General features: G+C 41.2%; 1 protein-coding gene across 2 annotated transcripts in view; it reads right to left on the minus strand.

Annotated features, from left to right (window-relative positions):
• Positions 1 to 21075, minus strand: part of NLRP13 (NLR family pyrin domain containing 13) — a 40645-nt gene extending 19570 nt beyond the window's left edge. For both annotated transcript variants that reach the window (NM_001321057.1, NM_176810.2), the window contains exons 1-5: positions 20732 to 21075; positions 13706 to 13774; positions 13329 to 13397; positions 12653 to 12718; positions 445 to 2032 (exon numbers count right to left, since the gene is read on the minus strand). In NM_001321057.1, coding sequence (NP_001307986.1) covers positions 445 to 2032; positions 12653 to 12718; positions 13329 to 13397; positions 13706 to 13774; positions 20732 to 21050 — 2111 coding nt within the window. In that variant the 5' untranslated portion in view covers positions 21051 to 21075. The remainder of the gene's footprint in view (positions 1 to 444; positions 2033 to 12652; positions 12719 to 13328; positions 13398 to 13705; positions 13775 to 20731) is intronic.

The following is a 21468-nucleotide window of genomic DNA, read 5'->3' on the forward strand; positions in this document are numbered from 1 at the left end:
TACTCTGTTGCCCAGGCTGGAGTGCAGTGATGTGATCTCTGCTTGCTGCAACTTCTGCCTCCTTGGCTCAAGCAATCCTCCCACCGCAGCCCCCCAGTAGCTGGGACCACAGGTGTGTGCCACCACACCCAGCTAATAACCACTCAGTCATGGACATTCAGTTAGATACAAGTAGATGTCTTAGCACAATGCCTGGTACTTAAACCCTCCATATTCAATGCCTAAGATATAAAGATGTCTTTAAGTTGATCAATTAGATTAGCTAGGAAACTAGGTGATGCCTAAAGGACAACATTCTTTCAAGTTAGAGCTGCTCCAGACCATTTGGTCGGAAATAAGCACGAATACATAACGACAACACATCCCTGGTTTTGCATGAAAGAATTTGCACAGAGCCTGAGAAAACAGGAGAAAGCTGAGAAAGAAATGGTTTGTAATACTCACTCCAGAATTTCCAAGTCCCTTTCAAGGATGTGACTGCTAACAGAAAGCCTTAGCTTATTTAACCTTTTACAGTGCTTTAGGCAAAATGAAGAAGCTTGGAGTTCTTCGTCCTCCAAAATATTAAGGTCAACTTCAAAGATACGACCCAACATCTTCTTTGTGAAGTCTTCCTCCTGGGACTCGTGTAGGCAGTGAAAAAGTCGTAGAATGTGAAATTGGAGAGAGGCACTTTCAGCCTTACCTAACTCTTCTCCCCACTTTAATAATTCCTCCATTACCCTGGGAGATATTTTACAATGCAAAGTATCTTCCAGTTCTCTTGCTATGTTTTTATTTAAAAGACCAAAGAAGAACAGAACCACTGGAGTCCAGTAGGCTTCTTTGTCAAGCAAGACGTGTTGCAGTAACATCTTCATCTCTTGTGGCTTTGTGGAATGGGGAGGGAATTCTCTAGGTTCCTCTAGCACAAAGGACATGGCTGCAAAAAACTCCTGGAAACTTAGGTGGGTGAAAGTAGTGCAACCCCCACAGTCATTGATCTTTTGAAGAATATTGAACTCGTAGAGAGAATCAATGAAAGGCACTTCCAGGCCCTCGATCTCAGTGTCTTCTTTGTTAAACGTGAAGTTCATAGACCACAGCCCTTCTATGGCCAGACTGCAGAGGGCCCTCCATTGTCCTGGCCAGCTGTCATCTGCCAAATCTACCTCTGCTGTGGAGAACAAGTTGGAGAAAAAATAGGCATACAGACTGGTGGTAGTCTGAGTGATTGACTGGAGATCGTAATACCTCACCTTCGGCTGCTTCAGACAGGAACATACGGTCCAACACACCATGGGGGCACTGCAGGAATGAAAGAGAGTTTCGTTTTTTCTTAGCTGCTGCAGGATTTTCTCAACTTCACTTGAGTCATCAAAGTGTCTCATGAAATATACCCGTAGGTCGTCCCCTGTGAACCCTGTAATTTGTACAAAGCATGGATTCACTAATGAGGCCTTAAGATCTCTCACAAACCAGGTCTTGATCGTGATCAGTAAGGTAGCCAGGGGAACCAATTCTTTCTTCAACAAGCTGTGTAGGATTTTGGTCACTGGGAGCTCCTGGTACCAGTCTGTACATGGCGAGCCATCATCCAAGCTCTCAGAGCGTGACTCAGATATGATTATTTCCTCAAAGCCATCAATAATAAACAGGAGCTTCTCTGGTTGAGACATGAACTCTTCAATGGGGGCATCAAAATCGGGCCAATCCAAAGAAATCAATTCAGCAAAGGTAGTTTCCTTCATGTACCTTATTTTATGGCAGCTGAGATAGAAAACATAGGAGAACCTTTGCTGAAAGAGAACTCCATTTGCCCAGTGCAGCATAGCCTGCATTGCCAAGGTGGTCTTCCCAACCCCTGCCCTCCCCACCAAGACTATCGTCTGGGCCTGGGCTCTAGTCCTATTAGGATCCAGTAGGCGCTGCAGTTCCTCATGTTCGTCCTTTGATGTATTACGGATATATACGTGGTCTTTAGGCCAACTGATGTTGTCCCATGTCTCCAGTAGTTCAGCCTTCATGTTCTCTCTGTATTTTCTTCTGTGGTCTAGAGAGGGCGGAGTGGGGAGAAGAATGGTAAGAATAAATTTCAGAGTTAGGAATGATTCAGTTACAAAGTTCCTACCCCAAAGACTTGAATAAGAGAAACTCTGCCTTCCAGGATTTTGTGGGAATGCAGTGGTAGAAAGTTGCAAAAGGAGGCTGAGGTAGGAGAATGGCGTGAACCCGGGAGGCGGAGGTTGCAGTGAGCCGAGAGGCACCACTGCACTCCAGCCTGGGTGACAGAGTGAGACTCCGTCTCAAAAAAAAAAAAAAAAAAAAAAAGTTGCAAAATATGAAGACAGTTAAATAATTTGATGATATATACAAATGAAAAATACAGAATAACATAAGAGCGATCAAGAACACCTTTAAGAGAGGGCAGAGAAGGGATCATAGCGAGAAGCCTCTCACTAGAGGATTCTACACTGAGAATGGAGAAGAATCATCAGAAGAGAAGTCAGTCTGGGGTACTTTCAGGCGGGGGGAAGGCCAAGGTGAATGCCCACCCAGAATTTTTTTCTGCAAGCCTCGTGAGTGTGCCCACTCCATTGCCTGACCAGCTCAGCACCCCAAAGACACCTTCTAGCCAGTAGAGGGGGCCCATGAGCCCTCTTCCCTCACCAGCTATCAGGTTTTCCTCACTTCCTCGAAACACTTCAGAGCAACAAGGGATTTGGGCAGGTCAGAGTCCCCCACTCACAGAAGGCTGACCCGACTCGACTCACAAGGGAATCAGTAACTGTAGAGCCTGCCAGTTTTCCTGGTCCCTGTGCCCAGACAGCTTCAGCTGGTGAGGGCTTAGACTCTAGGTTGCCCTGAAGATCAAGGCTTTGTCTCTCCCATTCTCCCCATTCCTGGGTTTCTTCCCAAAATGACTACTGTGGGGCCAGTCACAGCACAAGGGCCAGGACCTCTACAGAGGCTGGGGTGAGGAGTGATTGAGCTAGCGATTCTTAGAGGCCTTCTGGGGCCTACTACGTATGCTGAGACAGAAATGAGCATTCTAGAGTATAGTGACCAAGGCACATGGTAGGAGGCTGGATCGTGATTATCTTTGCTTTGAAAACCAAGGAATGAGATGCCGTAATTTATATTTTTAGAACTCCAGGTTTTATAAAGAATAGATTATGATGCATCAGTGTAGGAAAGGAGGTAGAGAAAACAAGTAGAAAGCTACTACTATCTTCATCTAAGTGAAAATGGGCACCTGGCAGACTAGAATGTATTTGTAGAATATACCCCATCAGTATATGTAACTATTACATATCTGCAAAAAATTTAGGAATGAATGGTAATCACCATTCTACTTTCTACTTCTATGAGTTCAAGATTCTTAGATCCCATATATTAGTGAGATGGGGCAGTAATTGCCTTTTTGTGCCTGACTTATCTCACTTACCATAATATCACAAATGATAGAATTTGTGTTGTCACAAATGATAGAATTTCACAAATGATAGAATTTCCTTCTCTTTAAAGGCTGAATAGTATTCTATTGCATCTATAGGCCATATTTTCTTTATCCATTCATCTGTTGATGGATACCTAGGTTGATTTCATATCTTGGCTATTGTGAATAGTGCTGCAATGAACATGGGAGTGAAAATCTCTTTGACATACTGATTTCTTCTTGCCAAGTGAAATAAGCCAGACACAGAAAGACAAATGCCAGATGATTTCACTTATATGTAGAATCTAAAAAAGTAAAACTCAGAAGAAGAGAATAAAGTGGTGATTACTAGAAGCTGGGGAATGGCACGGGGAAAAGAGAGGGAAAGGAGAAATTTTGAGCAAAGGGTACAAAGTTTCAGGTAGACAAGAGGAACGAGTTCTGTGATGTACTGCATAGCAATGTAACTGTAGTTAATAACAGTGTGTTATATAGTTCAACACTTCAGAAAAAGTAGATTTTAAGTGTTCTTACCACAAAGAAAAAGTAAGTGTTGTGGATTAAGGAGGTTCGAGATGGCTGACTGGAGACATTGGGTGCCAGTTCTTAGAACCAAAATTACAAATAGGTAATTACAGCCATGTGCGGTGGCTCATGCCTGTAATCCCAGCACTTTGGGAGGCCGAAGCAGGTGGATCACCTGAGGTCAGGAGTTCGAGACCAGCCTGACCAACATGGTAAAACCCCATCTCTACTAAAAATACAAAGATTAGCCAGGCATGGTGGCACGCGCCTGTAATCCCAGCTACTCGGGAGGCTGAGGCAGGAGAATCACTTGAACCCGGGAGGCAGAGGTTGCAGCAGGCCAAGATCGCACCACTGTACTCCAGCCTGGGCAACGGGGCAAGACTCTGTCTCAAAAACAAACAAAACAAATAGATAATCACAATTCAAACAGAGTATCAGGAGAGAATATTCGAGCCCAACAGAGAACTCATAGGAAGAAGCTGGGGCACAGAAAAAGGAAGAGAAGCCAACTCAGCCAGCAGAGATCAGCTAGGATAGGCTTGCCTTGTCCAGCCCCACCCAACTTCACTCCCACCCCTCCATGGCTGATCATGGAGCCCAAGCTCCTATGCATTTCACAGACCAGCCCATTGCCTGATGCACAAGAAAGTTTCTCCTGGTAAACAACAATCAAGCATAAAAGCTACTGCAACTGCTGCAGCTGGCTCTAACCTGCACGTGTCATCTACTGGACTAGATGTCAAACTACACAACCCAATACAAAAGCTGCTAACACAAGTAAACAGTGCTTGGGAACCAGATAAGCTTTAAGACCTCACTAACCTGGCCCCACAGGAGACCAAGAGCCTACTCACACACCTAGTAAACCACTACTAAAACCACATTTAGAAAGCCACTGCACTAATACTGTCTATAACCAAGGAATTTATAGAGTCTTTGTCAATGAAAGCACTCAGAAAAGCCAAATGACCCTACTAAACACACATTATAGTCACATCCTCAAGGGAAAAAATAGTCCCATCTAAACAGCAGTAAATGCAAAAATAAGAAGTGATAGTTTCTTCAGATAAGAAACTAATGCACAATTCTTGGCATATTAAAAAAACTCAGGTGTTATGATACCCCCAAAGGATTGTACTAACTCTCTAGCAATGGATCCTAACCAAAATGAAAATGTAAAAATGCCAGATAAATAATTTAAAATATTGATTTTAAAGAAGCTCAGTGAGATCCAAGAGAAATCATAAAACCTGTACAAAGAAATCAGAAAATAAATTCAGGATATGAATGAGAAATTTATCAAAGAGATATTTTTGAGAGAAAAATCAAATAAAACTTCTGCAAGTGAAAAATTCATTGAAGTTACAAAATATAGCTGAAAGTTTCAACAACAGATTAGACAAAGAAGAGGAAAGAATCTCAGAACTTGAAGGTCTTTTGAATTAATTTAGTCTGACAAAAATAAACAGGATTTTAAGAAAATGAACAAAGACTTCAAAAGGCGTGGGACTACATACAATGTTGGAACCTATGAATCATAGGCATTCCTGAGGGAGAAGAAAGAGCAAAAAGTTTTAAAAACCTGTTGTGGAAATAATTGAGAAAAACTTCCCTACTCTGGCAAGAGATCCAGGCATCCAAATATAAGAGGATTAATGAACTCCAAAAAAAATGCATTGCAAGAAGGGCCTCACTATGATATTTATTCATCAGACTAAGTTTAATGTGAAGGAAAAAACGTCCTAAAAAAAATCAGTAAGAGAAAATAATCTAGTCACCTATGAAGCAAAACCCATCAGACTAACAGCAGACTTCTCAGCAGAAATCTTACAAGCTAGAAGGAATTGGAATTTCAAAGGTTTTTTGTTTAAAGAAATAAACTGTTAACCCCAAGTTTTGTATCCTTCTACAATAAGCTTTATAAATGAAGAAATAAAGTCTTTTTCAGACAAGCAAACACTGAGGGAATTTGTCACTACTAGACTTGTACTACAGGAAATACTTGAAGGAGTTCTAAACATGGAACTAAAAAGGTTGATACTTGCCATCACAAAAACACACAAAACTATAAAATACACCAGTCTTATAAAGCAATTACACAAAGGAGAAAGAAATCAAATGATAGCATGACACAATTCCATCAAATCACAAAGAAAAAGAACAAAAAAATCTGCAAAGCAAATGGAAATCAACATTGTAACTGGAAAAAAGGTCATATATCAATATTAACCTTCAATATACATGGATTAAATGCGCTTCTTAAAAGATATAAATTGGAGGAATAGATTTTAAAACATAAGCCAAATATATGCTGCTTAAAAAAAAACTCATCTTACTTCACTATAGACTGAAGGTAAAGGTGTAGAAAAAGATTCCACTTTTCCCCCTTTGCTTCACAAAAAGCAAACTGGAGTAGCTATACTTATATTAGTTGAAAGACTTTCAACCAGCAACAGTTTAAAAAAAGGCAAAGAAGATTTTTATATAATGATAAAGGGATCAATTCAAGAAGATATAATAATCCTAAACATATATACATCCATACCAGAGTACCTAGATTCATAAAACAAATATTATTAGACCTAAAGACAGCAAAATAATAATAGTGGGAGACTTCAACACCCCACTGACAGCACTAGACAGATCATCAAGACAGAAAATCAACAAAGGAAGTCTGAACTTAAATTGGACTTTAGACCAAATGAAACTGACACACATTTACAGAACCTTCTACTCAACTGCAGAATATATATTCTTCTCATCAGTGCATGGAACATTCCTTGAAATAGACCGTATGTTAGGCTACAAAACAAGGCTCAATAAATTTTTTAAAAATGGAAATTATATCAAGTATTTTTCTCAGACTACAGTGAAATAAAACTAGAAATCAATCTCAAGAGAAACTCCTGAAACTATGCAAATGCACAGAAATTAAACAACTGCTCCTAAACAATCTTTAGGTCAATGACAAAATTAAGACAGAAATTAAGTTTTTTGAAACTAATGAAAATGGAGACACAACATATCAAAACCTCTGTGATACAGCAAAAAAAAAAAAAAAGTTTATAGCATTAAATGCTTACATTTAAAAAAAAATCACAAATTAACAACCTAACAATGCAACTCAAGGAAAAAGAATAAGAACAAATCAAACCCAAAGCTAGAAGAAAAATAACAAATCAGAGCAGAAATAGAGACCAAAATAACAATACAAAGAATCAGTAAAACCAAAGCTTGGTTACTTTAAAAAATAAACAAGATTGATAGATGGCTAGCTATACTAACTAATGAAAGAAGAGAAGATTCAAACAAACAATCAGAAATGAAAAAGGAAACATTACAACTGAGCCAACAGAAATACAGATGATCAGAGACTACTATGGACAACTCTATACTCACAAACTAAAAACCCAAGAAGAAATAGATAAATTTCTGGGAACATACAACCTACCAAGATTGAATCAGGAATAAATATAAATCCTGAACAGATCAACAACAAGGAGTGAGTGAATCAGTAATTTAAAAAATTAATAACAAAAAAATCCCAGTACCAGATGTATTTCACAACCAAATTCTACAAGACATACAAAGAAGAACTGGTACCAATCCTACTGAAACTGTTGCAGAAAAAGATGTTGGAGAGGAGGGAGTGCTCTCTAATTCCTTTTATTAAGCCAGTATCATCCTGATGCCAAAGCTCAACAAGGACACAAAAAGACAACTGCAGACCACTATCCCTGATGAACATAAGTGCAAAAATCTTCAACAAAATACCAGAAAACTGATCCAACAACACATAAAAAAGATAATACACCATGACCAAGTGGGTTTTAACCCAGGAATACAAGGACGGTTCAACACTCACAAATCAATAAATGTGATTCGCCACATAAACAGAATTAAAAACAAAAACTATATGATCATCTCTACAGATGCATAGAAGCATTTGGTAAAATTCAGCATCCCTTCATGATAAAAACCCTCAACAAACTAAGCTTCAAAGGAACATATGTCAAACTAATAAAAGCCATATATGACAAATCCACAGCCCACATTATACTGAATGGGAAACAGTTGAAAGCATTCTCCCCAAGAACTGGAACAAGACAAGGATGCCCACTTTCACCACTCCTATTCAACACAAAACTGGCTAGTCATAGCCAGAGCAATCAGGCAAGAGAAAGAAATAAAAAGGTATCTAAATTGTAAAGAAGAAGCCAAATTATCTGTTGATATGATCTTATATCTAGAAAACTCTAAAGACTTCTCTAAAAGACTCCTAGATTTGATAAATGAATTCATAAAATCTTAGTATTAAAATAAAGCAATGTACAAATATCAGTAGCCTTTCTATACTCCATAATGATCAAGCTGAGAACCAAATTAAGAAGGCAATCTATTTACAATAGCTTAAAAAAAAACACCTAAGGAATATATTCAACCAAAGAGGTGAAAGATCTCCACAAGGAAAACTACAAAAAGCTTAAGAAATTATGGATGACACAAGTAATGCTCGTGGATAAGAATAAATGTCATTAAGATGACCATATTTTCCAATATATCAATTCAATGCAATTCCTATCAAACTCCCAGTGACATATTTCACAGAATTAGAGAAAACAATCCTAAAATTCATATGGAACCAAGAAAGAGCCCTAATAGCCAAAACAATCAGAAGCAAAAAGGACAAATCTGTATGCATCACCTTACCTGACTTCAAATTATACTACCAGGATATAGTAAACAAAACAGCATGGTACTAGTACAAAAATAAACATAGATCAATGTAACAGAATAGAGAGGCCAGAAATAAAGCTATATACCTACAGCTAGCTGATCTTCCGCAAAGTCAATAAAAACACGCACTAGGGAAAGGGCACTCTATTCAATAAACGGTGCTGGGAAAACTGGCTAGCCATATGTAGAAGAATAAAACTGGACCATATCTCTCACTATATTCAAAAGCTCACTCAAGATGGAATAGAGATTTAAATGTAAGACCTGAAACTGTAAAAATCCTAGAAGAAAATGTAGGGAAAAGTTTTCTGGACATTGCCTTGGCAAAGAATTCATGACTAAGACCTCAAAAACAAATGCAAGAAAAACAAAAATAAACTGATATGCCTTAATTAAGAAGTTTCTACACAGCAAAAGAAGTAATCAAGTGAACAGATAACCTGCAGGATAGGAAAAAATATTTGCAAAGTATACATTCAAAGGGCTAATATCCAGAACCTACAAGGAACTCAATTTAAATAAAATCCCATTAGAAAATGGAGAAAGGACATAAGCAGACATTTTTTAAAAGAAGACATAGAAGTAGTCAAGAAACATGTAAAAAAAAAATGCTCATTATCACTAGGCAGAGAAATGCAAATTAAAGCCACAGTCAAAAAACCCAAATGTTGGCAAGGATTCAGAAAATGGAACACTTGTACACTGTTGGTGTGAAAGTAAATTAGTACAATATCTATGAAAATATTAGGATATTTCTCAAAGAACTAAAAATAGAACTACCATTTGATCAAACAGTATCACTATTGGGTATCTATTCTAAGAAAAAAAAATCATATCATAAAGATACCTGCACTCCTGTGTTTATTGCAGCAGTATTCACAGTAGCAAAGATACGCAATCAACCTAAATGTCCATTAATGGATGACTGGATAAAGAAAATGTGGTGTATGTATGTATGTATGTATACACATATATACACACCCAGGAATACTACTCATAAAAGATAATATATCTTACAGCAATATGGATAGAACTGGAGGCCATTATCTTAAGTGAAGTAAGTCTGACACAGAATAACAAATACCGCAAGTTCTTACTTATAAGTTGGAACTAAATCATGTGTACATATGTACATATAGAATGGAATAATAGACGTTGAAGACTCAGAAGGGTGGAAAGGTAGGAGGGGGTTGAGGGACGAGAAATTCCTTTAATAGGTACAATGTAGACTATTCAGGTGATGGCTCCACCAAAAGCTCAGACTTTACCACTACACGATATATCCATGTAACAAAATGGAATGCAAACCACATATTGAGTCAAGACAGTATTTCTGTTAATTTGGCAAATATTTGGAAGAATTTTTATTGATACTTGGAAGGAAAAAGACACCCACAATATCATAACGGATGATATTTTGTTACAGCCTTTTAGAGGATCAATTTGACTATAAGCTTTAGATTATATATATATGTTTTTGTCTAGGAGTCCTACTTTAAGAATGTCTTCTACAGAAATATTTGTGGATATGCACATATGATATGGACATTTATCAAAGTATTGCTTAATGTTTTTTAAAAAGCTGGAAGCCTAGATTTCTGTCAACAGGAAAAGGTTAAATACAAACCATGACACATCCATACAAAGGTATATGGCAAAAGAATAATAAATATTACCTGTTATGATCCCAGAAAAAGAGATTAAGTTAAGGATCTGGAGAAGAGGAACTTATCCTGGATTATCTGGGGGGCTAATACAATTGCACATATCATCCTAAAGTAGGAGCAGAGGGAGATGAGGCACAGACACTCAGAGGAAAAGACATAGCAGGTGGCAATGAGGCCACAGAGTTGGAGATGAGAGTCATGAGGCCACAACCCAAGAAATACTGGAAGCCACCAGAGCTGGAAGAGACCAGAACAGATCTTCCCCAGAGCCTTTCTACTGACATGTTGATTTCAGTTAATTGGTATATTAGTCTGTTCTCACACTGCTAGTAAAGACATACCCAAGAGTAGGTAATTTATAAAGAAAAATAAGTTTGATGGACTCACAGTTCCACATGGCTGGGGAGGCCTCGCAATCATGGCAGAAGGCAAAGCAGGAGCAAAGACACAACTTACCTAGTGGGAGGTGAGGGGGCATGTGCAGGGGAACTCCCCTTTATAAAACCATCAGATCTCAGGAGACTTACTCACTGTCATGAGAACAGCGAGGGAAAGATCCACCCCATGAATCAGTTACCTCCCACCAGGTCCCTCCCATGACACATGGGAATTATGGGAGCTACAATTCAAGATGAGATTTCGGTGGAGACACAGCCAAACCGTATCATTTGGCCTGTCTCTCAAAGAGGTTTTTTTTTTATTGTTGTTTTTTGTTTTTTTGTTTGTTTGTTTTTTCAGATGGAGTCTTGCTCTGTCACTAGGCTTGAGTGCAGTGGCATGATCTTGGCTCACTGCAACCTCTGCCTCCCAGGTTCAAGCAATTCTCCTGCCTCAGCCTCCCAAGTAGCTGGAGCTACAGGCACACACCACCATGCCCGGCTAATTTTTGTATTTTTAGTATAGATGGGGTTTCACCATGTTGGCCAGGATGGTCTTGATCTCTTGACCTCGTGATCTGCCTACCTCAACCTCCCCAAGTGCTGGGATTACCGGCGTGAGCCATCATGCCCAGCAGAGTTGTTTTAAGCTATCCAGTTTGTCATACAATTGGTTAACAGAGGCCCTAGGAAACTACTGTAGCATACAACCTTCATTCCAAGACTCAGCATCAATTTATATGCCCAGGATACTGAACACTGATGCTGCTACACCCAGGAGAAATGATAATGTTATGGGAGGATAGAAGGGAAGACAGATACCTAACACCATGACAAGAAGTCAGTAGATAACCGATTGGAAAACTAAGAAATAGCAGGAAATATTAATCACTTATGACCATAGAAACAAATATCAGAAGTAGCCCCAAAGAGTAGTGGGTGGATGTCTCTGTAGAGCAGACCTCAAGAGCTGGCTGGGAGGATTGATGCTTTGCATTACAAGCTCTATGTCCCTGTGATTCTTTGGGGCTTGTATACATGCACATGTACTTCTTTGATAAAACTAAACTTAGAACTAGAATGTATGTTTTACTTTCTCAGAGTGACAATCTCCATAGGGCCACTGGTACAAAAACTACAGATGCCTATTAATTCACCTGTTAAAAGGTAATCTCAATATCAGTTATTTAACAAAAGCACCAAGTCCAGAAGCAGACACCAGTGTGTGAGAACCTACAGGAAAAACAGAGAATCCCGTTTATAGTAACCTATTTTTCTGTAGGAGATCAGTCAGGGTGGTGGGAGAAGTTGTAGGAAAAATGCAAACTTTCTTGGAAGGCTGGGGGAGAGGGGGTTGCAAAGCTTTGGGGAAGAATGAGCTGAAGGCATGGTTCTTACCCTGGGGCAAAGGCCAAGTAGTAGGTACAGAAGAATGCAGGGAAGTTTATCTGAATAGCTTGTTTATCATGCCTCCAGAAACCTGGCCTTTCATCACCCACGCGCAGGAGTAGGGGGTGGAAGGGGCACCACCATGTGAATTGCCCACAAGTGTGTTGACTCAAGGCCTTTGTCATTAAATCTGTTCTAAATAAATGCCCGCAGTGCCAGCTTGTCAGGGCAGCAGCTGCTGACTCTTTATAGCACCCTCCTCAGTATCTGTGGGCAGCCCAGTCCCCTAGCCTGCTCTTTCACTGGATATCTGTGTCTGAGTGCATTTTTTCATTCGTTGTTCGGCCAGGGTCTGCGGGTTGGACCTGGCATTTTTCAACAAATTGTACTGGAAGAACCAGTTGGGAAGAGCTTTTAATTTATTGCATACCATAAACTGAAGAAAATGTCAGTATGAGGCAACTCTACTATGGACCTAGTGAAACCAATGCTCGTCAAGCAACCTGTCCATTATCAACATAAAGTAGTATACACACCTGCTTCCTCTAGCATCTCTGGTTCTTCTTGGTTTGGATCTTGGCATCCCTGGGCCTGTACATTCCCTGAAATAAACAGTGATGATGAGATATGAAAATACCCCAGACTGAAAATGGGCCACAATGATAAAGACTCTCAGTAGAACCAACTCTTTCTATGGCAAACTTGAGAGTGAAGAGACTGGAGAAATCAGCATGCCCAGTTTATATTTTTTATTTATTTTTAAGAAATGGAGTCTCACTCTGTTGCCCACGCTAGAGTGCAGTGGTACCATCTTGGCTCACTGCAACATCTGCCTCCTGGGTTCAAGAGATTCTCCTGCCTCAGCCTCCTGAGTAGCTGGGATTACAGGCACACACCACCAGGCCTGGCTGATTTTTGTATTTTTAGTAGAGATGGAGTTTCATCATGTTGGCAAGGCTGGTCTCAAACTCTTGACTTCAAGTGATCTGCCCACCTTGGCCTCCCAAAGTGCTGGAATTGCAGATATGAGCCGTTCTACTCAGCCGTAAGTTATTATTTAATAAGAAATACTGGAAGAACTAGATGGAAAGAGTTTTTAATTTTTTATGTACCATAAATTCAAGAAATTTCAGCATAGGCAGCAAATGTGGACCAATGAAACGAGTGTTCCATCAAGCAACCTGTCAATTATCAACCAAGTAATGTACACACCTGTTTCTTCTTCTAGCTCGTCTAGTTCTTCTTGGTTTGGATCTTGGCATCCCTGGGTCTGCATATTCCCTGAAATAAACATTGACGATGAGATATGAAAATACCCCAGAGTGAAAATGGGCCAGCAATAATGGAAGCCCCCAGTAGAACCAACTTTTTCTATGGCAAACGGGATTGAAGAGACTGGAGGAATCAGTATGCCCAGTTTACAGTAAGTTATCATTTAATAAGCAATACTGAAAGAATTAGTTGGAAAGTTTTTAATTTTTTATGCACTATAAATTCAAGAAATTTCAGAGTAGGCAGCGGATGTGGACCAGTGAATGAGTGCTCCATCAAGCAACCTGTCCATTATCAACTTAAAGTAGTGTACACACCTGCTGCTGCTTCTAGCATCTCTAGATCTTCCTGGGTTGGATCTTGCAGCTCTTGGGTCTGCACATTCTCTGAAACAAACAGTGATGATGACATATGAGAATACCCAGACTGAAAATGGACCAGCAATAATGGAGTCTCTCAGTAGAACCAACTCCTTCTATGACAAACTGGAGTTTGAAGGTCTGATTCCTCCAGTTTTCTCAAGCTCCATTAGCCCAACTGAAGATGCAGTGTGCACTCTGGAAAGTCCACAGCACACGCTAAGCACATTCCTGCCTCAGGGCCTTGGCTCCAGCCCTCCCCGCTGCCTGGATTCCCAGACATCTGCTTAGCTCACTCTCAAGGCTCTGCTGAAATCTTACCTCCACAATGGTGCCTGATAATCCTAATCATGACTACCACCTATATCTTTAATAACATACCTTAGCCTCTCCCCATCTGCCTTATCCTCCGTTTGCACTTGTCACCTTTTAACACACCATGTGATTTATGCGTTATGTCTATTGCCTGTCTAGGGAGATGGCTAGTCTGTTTACGGATTCATCCCAAGTGTGTAGAACAGTACCCCACACAGAGAAGCCACTCTAATATCTTTGGAGTAGAATACTGTAGGAATAAAAGCACCAAGAATTGGGTTCAAACCAAGTCCCTCAATTTGCTGCACATCACCACTCTGAATGTCCCCTTCCTCATGAGCTAGAAGACCTCTTCTATAACTCACAGTGGCCAAACTCACTTTACTGTGTAGTACATAGCTGCTACAGGACAATACCTTGTAAGGGATTTGCATCTAGAGATATGGCTCTAATATTTACAACTCCATTGCTTGTCACTGTTTACATGGCTTGTTCTGGTTAGCAAGCTGTGTCCTGCACTTCCTCCAGATGTTCCATGTTCCTTCAAAGAACAAGAATCCATCATTCTACACCCATGTTAGCCTAGGCCAAATAATCCCAGCTCTCTGAAGCTCCACAGACCCTACCTGTGGAGTCTGAGCCCTACGTCCACATATTTCAAGCTGAAGTCTGTCCTGAATTCTAACTCTCCTGGAAGCAGGGAGCCCGAGTGGGAACCTTTTCCTAGCCATAGCCCAAGCAGAGGAAAAGTAGACGATTTTCCCCTCTTCACTGGCTCTGTTTATCCAAAAGCCAACTGTTTGACATGTGGCATTCCTCTGTTGCAAACGAATCCAACGATGTGAGCCTTCCAGGTTATAGCTTTACTGTCAAGTATCAGGCATCACCATCTGGATCTTCATAGATTAAATTTAAGACTCCAATTTAGCTGGGACCACCTGTCAGAAAAGCCAGGCTATTCCAGATGAACAGCCTAGCAGGACTAGTACATGGCTGCAAAGAGAAAACAAAGGTTAAAAATTAGTAAGTTTTCACTTATTCTCCCTCATGCTTAGGGAACTTTGCAAGGACATGAAGGAATAGCGAAGAGCGGGCATATGGAAGTTCCACTGGTCACTCACCAGGCCTAGGCATTCCTCCATTCTCTGGTGAGGCGCACTTATCTGAGTATGTTTTAAATGCCAGAGGAGCATGTTTTAGGTAACCAGCCTACCCTTCCTACACCCAACATTACTCCCCCCAGGCTCCATAGGTTTACTTAGTGGTGTCTTTATCCTAATCCTAGCAACCCCTCAATGTAGGGAAGCACCGGTGATTTACACATAATTATGCACTTAAGTCAATGTGGTCCCTGTTCCCATTGCATGTTAAACCTCACTGCCCATGCGGAGGGTGGTGGGGGAAATCTTGGCCTTGTCTTAAAGGTCCCCCCAAAAAAATGCTTTACTGGGAAATGATTCCTACATAATTTAAAATGCAATGCATGAAGAATATAGAGTAATTTTAAACTTTTATGTATATAATGAAATAACTTTGAAAAGTATGAATTCCACCCAAGCATAGCCAAATGATTTTTGACAAAGATGCAGAAGCAATTCAATAGATAAAGAGCTCTTTTCAACAAATGGTGCTGGAGCCAATGGATATCTATAGGTGGAAAAAATAAGAAGAAAAGGGGTAGCAACCTAAACTTTACACCTTATACAGGAGAAAAAAAAAACCAACCCAAAAGAGAGAATAGATTTAAGTATAAAAGGTAAAAACCAGCCCAGCACATTGGCTCACACCTGTACTCCTAGCACTTTGGGAGGCTGAGGCAGGCAGATCACCAGGTCAGGAGTTTGGGACCAGCCTGGCCAGCGTGGGGAAACCCCATCTCTAATAACAACACAAAAATTAGCTGGGTGTGGTGGTGGGCGCCTGTACTCCCAGCTATTTGGGAGGCTGAGGCAGGAGAATCGCTTGAACCCGGAGGCAGAGGTTGCAGTGAGCCGAGATCATGCCACTGCACTCCAGCCTGGGTGGCAGAGCGAGGCTCCATCTAGGAAAAAAAAAAAAAAAAAGAGTGAAAACTATATGACACATTTGCCTTCGATTATTCTCCTTTGCCTGTGAAATAAAGTCTAATTCCTTAAAAAAAAAAAAAAATCCCAGTTCTGGACTTCCATTTGTACACCTGTGGAAGCCTGAAATAGATTCTTCCACTGCAAATTCACAGACATATCCTTGGGTGGGGTAGAGGGTGTGTGTGTAGTGAGGTGACACTCTCCCAGCTCTGATACTGCTGGCCAGGCACCATGCTTAAACAATCATCCATAAACCACCAGGGCAAGTGACGCTTTCAGATAAAAAAAACTACCCCAAAGATCAACTAACATGCAAGTTCCTACTCTGTGCCCAGTGCCTTCTAAGCATTTCACTCTAGAAATGTAGAGGTTGGAACAGTGACCCCAGTTTAAGAAAGAATTGTGGCCCCGTGGTAAAAATCACTTGTCCAAGGTTACCGTTGGTCAAATGGAACTAGCCTTTGAATCCAGACATCCTGACTCCAGAACCTGAGCCCTTAAGCCAATAGTCCCCAAAAGACAGTACGTGGGTCCCTGTATACACAGTTGTGTCCGCAAACTCACTCTCAGATGCATATCCCACAACACTGGTCAAGTACAGAAATACTCATGGTACAGTTTCCTAGATGATGGGGCTAACAGGGCACTAAGAACCACCTGATCCAACTGCTGAGCTTTTATCGTCCCCTGCATGGCTGGTGAGGTGGATGTGGCCCAGGGCTTTCTCCTACTTGAGAGGTATCTTCCCCATGACCCACGCCTTTAGAAGGCCAAGTAGGAACAAGACAAGGACCAGGGAAACGGGGCTCCTGTGATGTGCCCCGCCTGGCCCTGCAGCCTTCAGGCAGGAAGTTTATGCCGCCATTCGAAATCAGCAACAAGAAACAAAGGATAAATGCTTGACGGGAGGGACACCCCATCTACCCTGATGTGGTTATGACGCATCACTTGCCTGTATCCAAATATCTCATGTACCCCATAAATATATACACCTACTAAGTATCCAGAATTTTTTAAATTTAAGTTTAAATTTTAAAAACATCAGTGACAAGAAACAGGATAAATGCTTGAGGTGATGGACACACTCCATTTACCCCTGTGACTATTACCCAATGCATGCCAGTATCAAAATATCTCATGTACCCCATAAATATAGACACCTACTATGTATCCAAAAACTTTTAAGTTTATATTTTTAAAAATCAGCAACAAGAAAGTAAGTTCTTCCTTTGAGAGCATTCTCCTCTGTGCTAATTCCTCTCTCCAGGTCTCTATAAAGAGAGATATTCAGTTGGAAACAGAATTTAAGAGTTCTAAATCTCTATTTTCAATCTCTGATATCCTTTCTTCATGACTAAAACACCAAAAGCATGGCAACAAAAGCCAAAATTGACAAATGGGATCTAATTGAACTAAAGAGCTTCTGCACAGCAGAAGAAACTGTCACCAGAGTGTACAGGCAACCTGCAGAATGGGAGAAAATTTTTGTAATCTACTCATCTGACAAAGGGCTAATATCCAGAATCTACAAACAACTTAAATTTACAAGAAAAAAAAATCTCATCAAAAAGTGGGCGAAGTATATGAACAGACACTTCTCAAAAGAAGACATTTATGCAGCCAACAAACATGAAAAAAAGCTCATCGTCACTGGTTATTAGAGAAATGCAAATCAAAACCACAATGAGATACCATCTCACGCCAGTTAGGATGGCGATCATTGAAAAGTCAGGAAACAGATGCTGGAGAGGATGTGGAGAAATAGGAACACTTTTACACTGTTGGTGGGAGTGTAAATTAGTTCAACCATTGTGGAAGACAGTGTGGCGATTCCTCAAGGATCTAGAACTAGAAATACCATTTGACCCAGCAATCCCATTACTGGGTATATACCCAAAGGATTATAAATCATTCTACTATAAAGACTCTTGCACACATATGGTTATTGCAGCACTGTTCACAATAGCAAAGACTTGGAACCAACCGAAATGCCCATCAATGATAGATTGGATGAAGAAAATGTGGCACATATACACCATGGAATACTATGCAGCCGTAAAAAAGGATGAGTTCATGTCCTTCGCAGGGACATAGATGAAGCTGGAAACCATCATTCTCAGCAAACTAACACAGGAACGGAAAACCAAACACCGCATGTTCTCATTCATAAGTGGGAGCTGGACAATGAGAACACATGGACACAGGGAGGGGAACATCACCCACTGGGCCTGTCAGTGGGTGGGGGGCTAGGGGAGGGATAGTATTAGAAGAAATACCTAATGTACATGATGGGTTGATCGGTGCAGCAAACCACAATGGCATGTGTCTACCTATGTAACAAACCTGCACGTTGTGCACATGTACCCTAAAACTTGAAGTATAATAAAAAAATGAAAGTAGAAAGAGGAAAATAATAAAGATAAAATCAGAAATCAATGCAATACAAAGCATGCAATAGAGAAATCAATAAAGCCTAAAGTTGGTTCTTTGAAAAAAAAGAAAAGAAAAGAAATTAAGACAGTAAAAAAAAGAATTCTAAATCTCATTCCCTAGTTTTCTGCTTTACATCTGCCTATTCCAAACAAGAGTATCTGAGGGCTTTAAAAATGAGAGAGGGACAGGGAAAAAGGGTGGAGTGGTGTTCTAGTCTCCATCTCATCCTCCTTTCCACCAGAAGATACACAAAGCCCGAACTTGTATGACTCCGCATGCCCCGTGTCCAGGGTTCTGATATGGAAGACTCAGTATTGCCCACTCTCCTTCCTTAGAACTCACTCATTTGAGGGTAGGAGAAGCTGTACAAGGTCAAGCACAGAGCCTTTGGAGACACACTGCCTGGGCTCATGTCCCAGCTCTCCTGGTCACCAGCTCTGTGACTTTGGGAAATTTACTTAAGCTGTCTGTGCCTCAGTTTCCTTCTCTGTAAGATACAAGTAATAGGACCTCCTTCTTATAAATATAGTGAAGAGTCAGTACAAATGTATAGACAGCATTAAGATAAATGCCTGGTTTATAGCCAGGCATGGTGGCTCACGCCTGTAATCCCAGAATTTTGGGAGGCTGAGGCAGGCAAATCACCTGAGGTCAGAAGTTTGAGACCAGCCTGGCCAACATGGCAAAACCCCGTCTCTACTACAAATACAAAAATTAGCCGGGCATGGTGGCAGGTGCCTGTAGTCCCAGCTACTCGGGAGGCTGAGGCAGGAGAATCCCTTGAACCCAGGAGGCGGAGAGTGCAGTAAGCCAAGATCACACCATTGTACTCCAGCTTGGGTGACAAGAAGGAAACTCCATCTCAAAAAAAAAAAAAAAAAAAAAGAGTCAATGTCTGGTTTATAACAGGCACCAGGAAACATGATTATTTTCAACAGCTCTCATAGGCAGTCAGTTCTTTTATAAAGTGATGTGTGCATTCTGAAAACTCACCACAGCAGATTACATGGTGCACTAAGACCAGACGGCTTACAGGAGATAGAATCAGTGATTATATATATATATATATATATATAAAATTTTAACCAGAAGCTTAAACAGCATGGTTTTATACTTGCTGATTAATTACAAAACACTTTATTACCACAATAAACACTGCACGATCCTACAACACCACAATCAGCCCTGTAACACCTCAGCAGGTCTTGCAATGCCACAGAAGATGTGGCATGAAACTTTACCCTGAGTAAAACATGAACTTTGCTTGTGAATATGGGAAGTGTCGCAGCTTGTGAGTTTTTGTGAAGTGAAAGAACAATGATCTGAAATCAGACAGAAAGTGTAGAATGGGCAAGGCTCGTACTGAGGAAGCGGGTAGATGTTTGAGGTACATGCCTGTGTGCATTGTGTACAATCCTACATGGCTCTGCTCGGCTGAGTGCAGGGTCGGTGGGTTGCGGGGGCAGGGCGGGGGTTGTTGTGGTTTCTTAGTGTTTCTCTTGGGCAAAACCATGCATAAGCTAACATGAAATCTGTGCTGCACTCAAATTGTTCCCAGTACGACAATCACACTGGGACAAATTTGCATGTTTAAAAGAAGCCTGGGCTGGGCGCGGTGGCTCACGCCTGTAATCCCAGTGCTTTGGGAGGTCGAGGCGAGCAGATCACGAGGTCAGGAGATTGAGACCATCCTGGCTAACACAGTGAAACCCCGTCTCTACTAAAAATACAAAAAAATTAGCCGGGTGTGGTGGCGGGCGCCTGTAGTCCCAGCTACTTGGGAGGCTGAGGCAGGAGAATCGCTTCAACCTGGGAGGCAGAGGTTACAGTGACCTCAGATCGCACCACTGCACTCCAGCCTGGGCGACAGAGTGGAGACTCAGGCTCAAAAAAAAAAAAAAAAGAAAGAAAGAAAGAAAGAAAAAGGCTTATAACATAACTGAATGTGCCTCTTCCGATTCCCTTTCTTGCCTTTGCTACTCCTTCCCAGGCTAGAGCACTAAATCTTTATAGCCTTTATGCCTTTAAACATCATACTGTCATAGATTATCAAGGAGGATTTGTAGGGGGAGATCGGCAGTGTGGAATGACCCCACAAAAACCCAGCGGCTACCTCCTTGCCTCAGGAGTACCAAGCAGCCCTCCCGCCTTCCTTCTTGAGGACTCTCACCTTTCATCTCGGCTCTAACTTTCTCACACAGTGAGGTCAGATTCATTGTCTGGAAGATGCCGAGGACCACTTTCCATGCCTGACCTTTTGGGAAGTGTTCATCCAAAAGAAAGGACAGATTCAAAGGGTCGGCAGCTCTCAAGTTTGCCCAGGGGATACGCGGGAAGTGCCCCTGGGGGGCCGACCAGAAGTCCATCAGCTGCTGGGGTTCCAAGCAAAGCTTGAATTCCTCCAGCTGATACTGATCCAGGGCCATCAGGTAAGGCAGAAGCCCTTGGTTGGTACCACCGTTGGGGCAGGTGATTACAGAAAAGTTCATCTTGCCCAACACATGCAGTTTCTCACTTCAGCAAAGGACTCCTATATCCACAGGACACTTGTGACCTGCAGAAAAGGAGAGAGTTGAAATCATAAGCCATAAATATCACCTCCTCTCACTGTCTTGCCTACACATTTGAGTATTTTCGCTTCACAGTACTTCCTGCTACTTGTGTTAGTACACTTTTTTGTTGTTGTTTTGTTTTTTGAGATGGAGTCTCGCTCTGTCCCCCAAGCTGAAGTGCAATGGTGCGATCTCGGCTCACTGCAAGCTCCGCCTCCCGGGTTCACGCCATTCTCCTGCCTCAGCCTCTTGAGTAGCTGGGACTACAGGTGCCCGCCACCACGCCCAGCTAGTTTTTTTTGTATTTTTAGTACAGATGGGGTTTCACCGTGTTAGCCAGGATGGTCTCGATCTC

This window comes from Homo sapiens, chromosome 19, assembly GCF_000001405.40.
Source record: "Homo sapiens chromosome 19, GRCh38.p14 Primary Assembly".
Taxonomy (NCBI): Eukaryota; Metazoa; Chordata; class Mammalia; order Primates; family Hominidae; genus Homo; species Homo sapiens.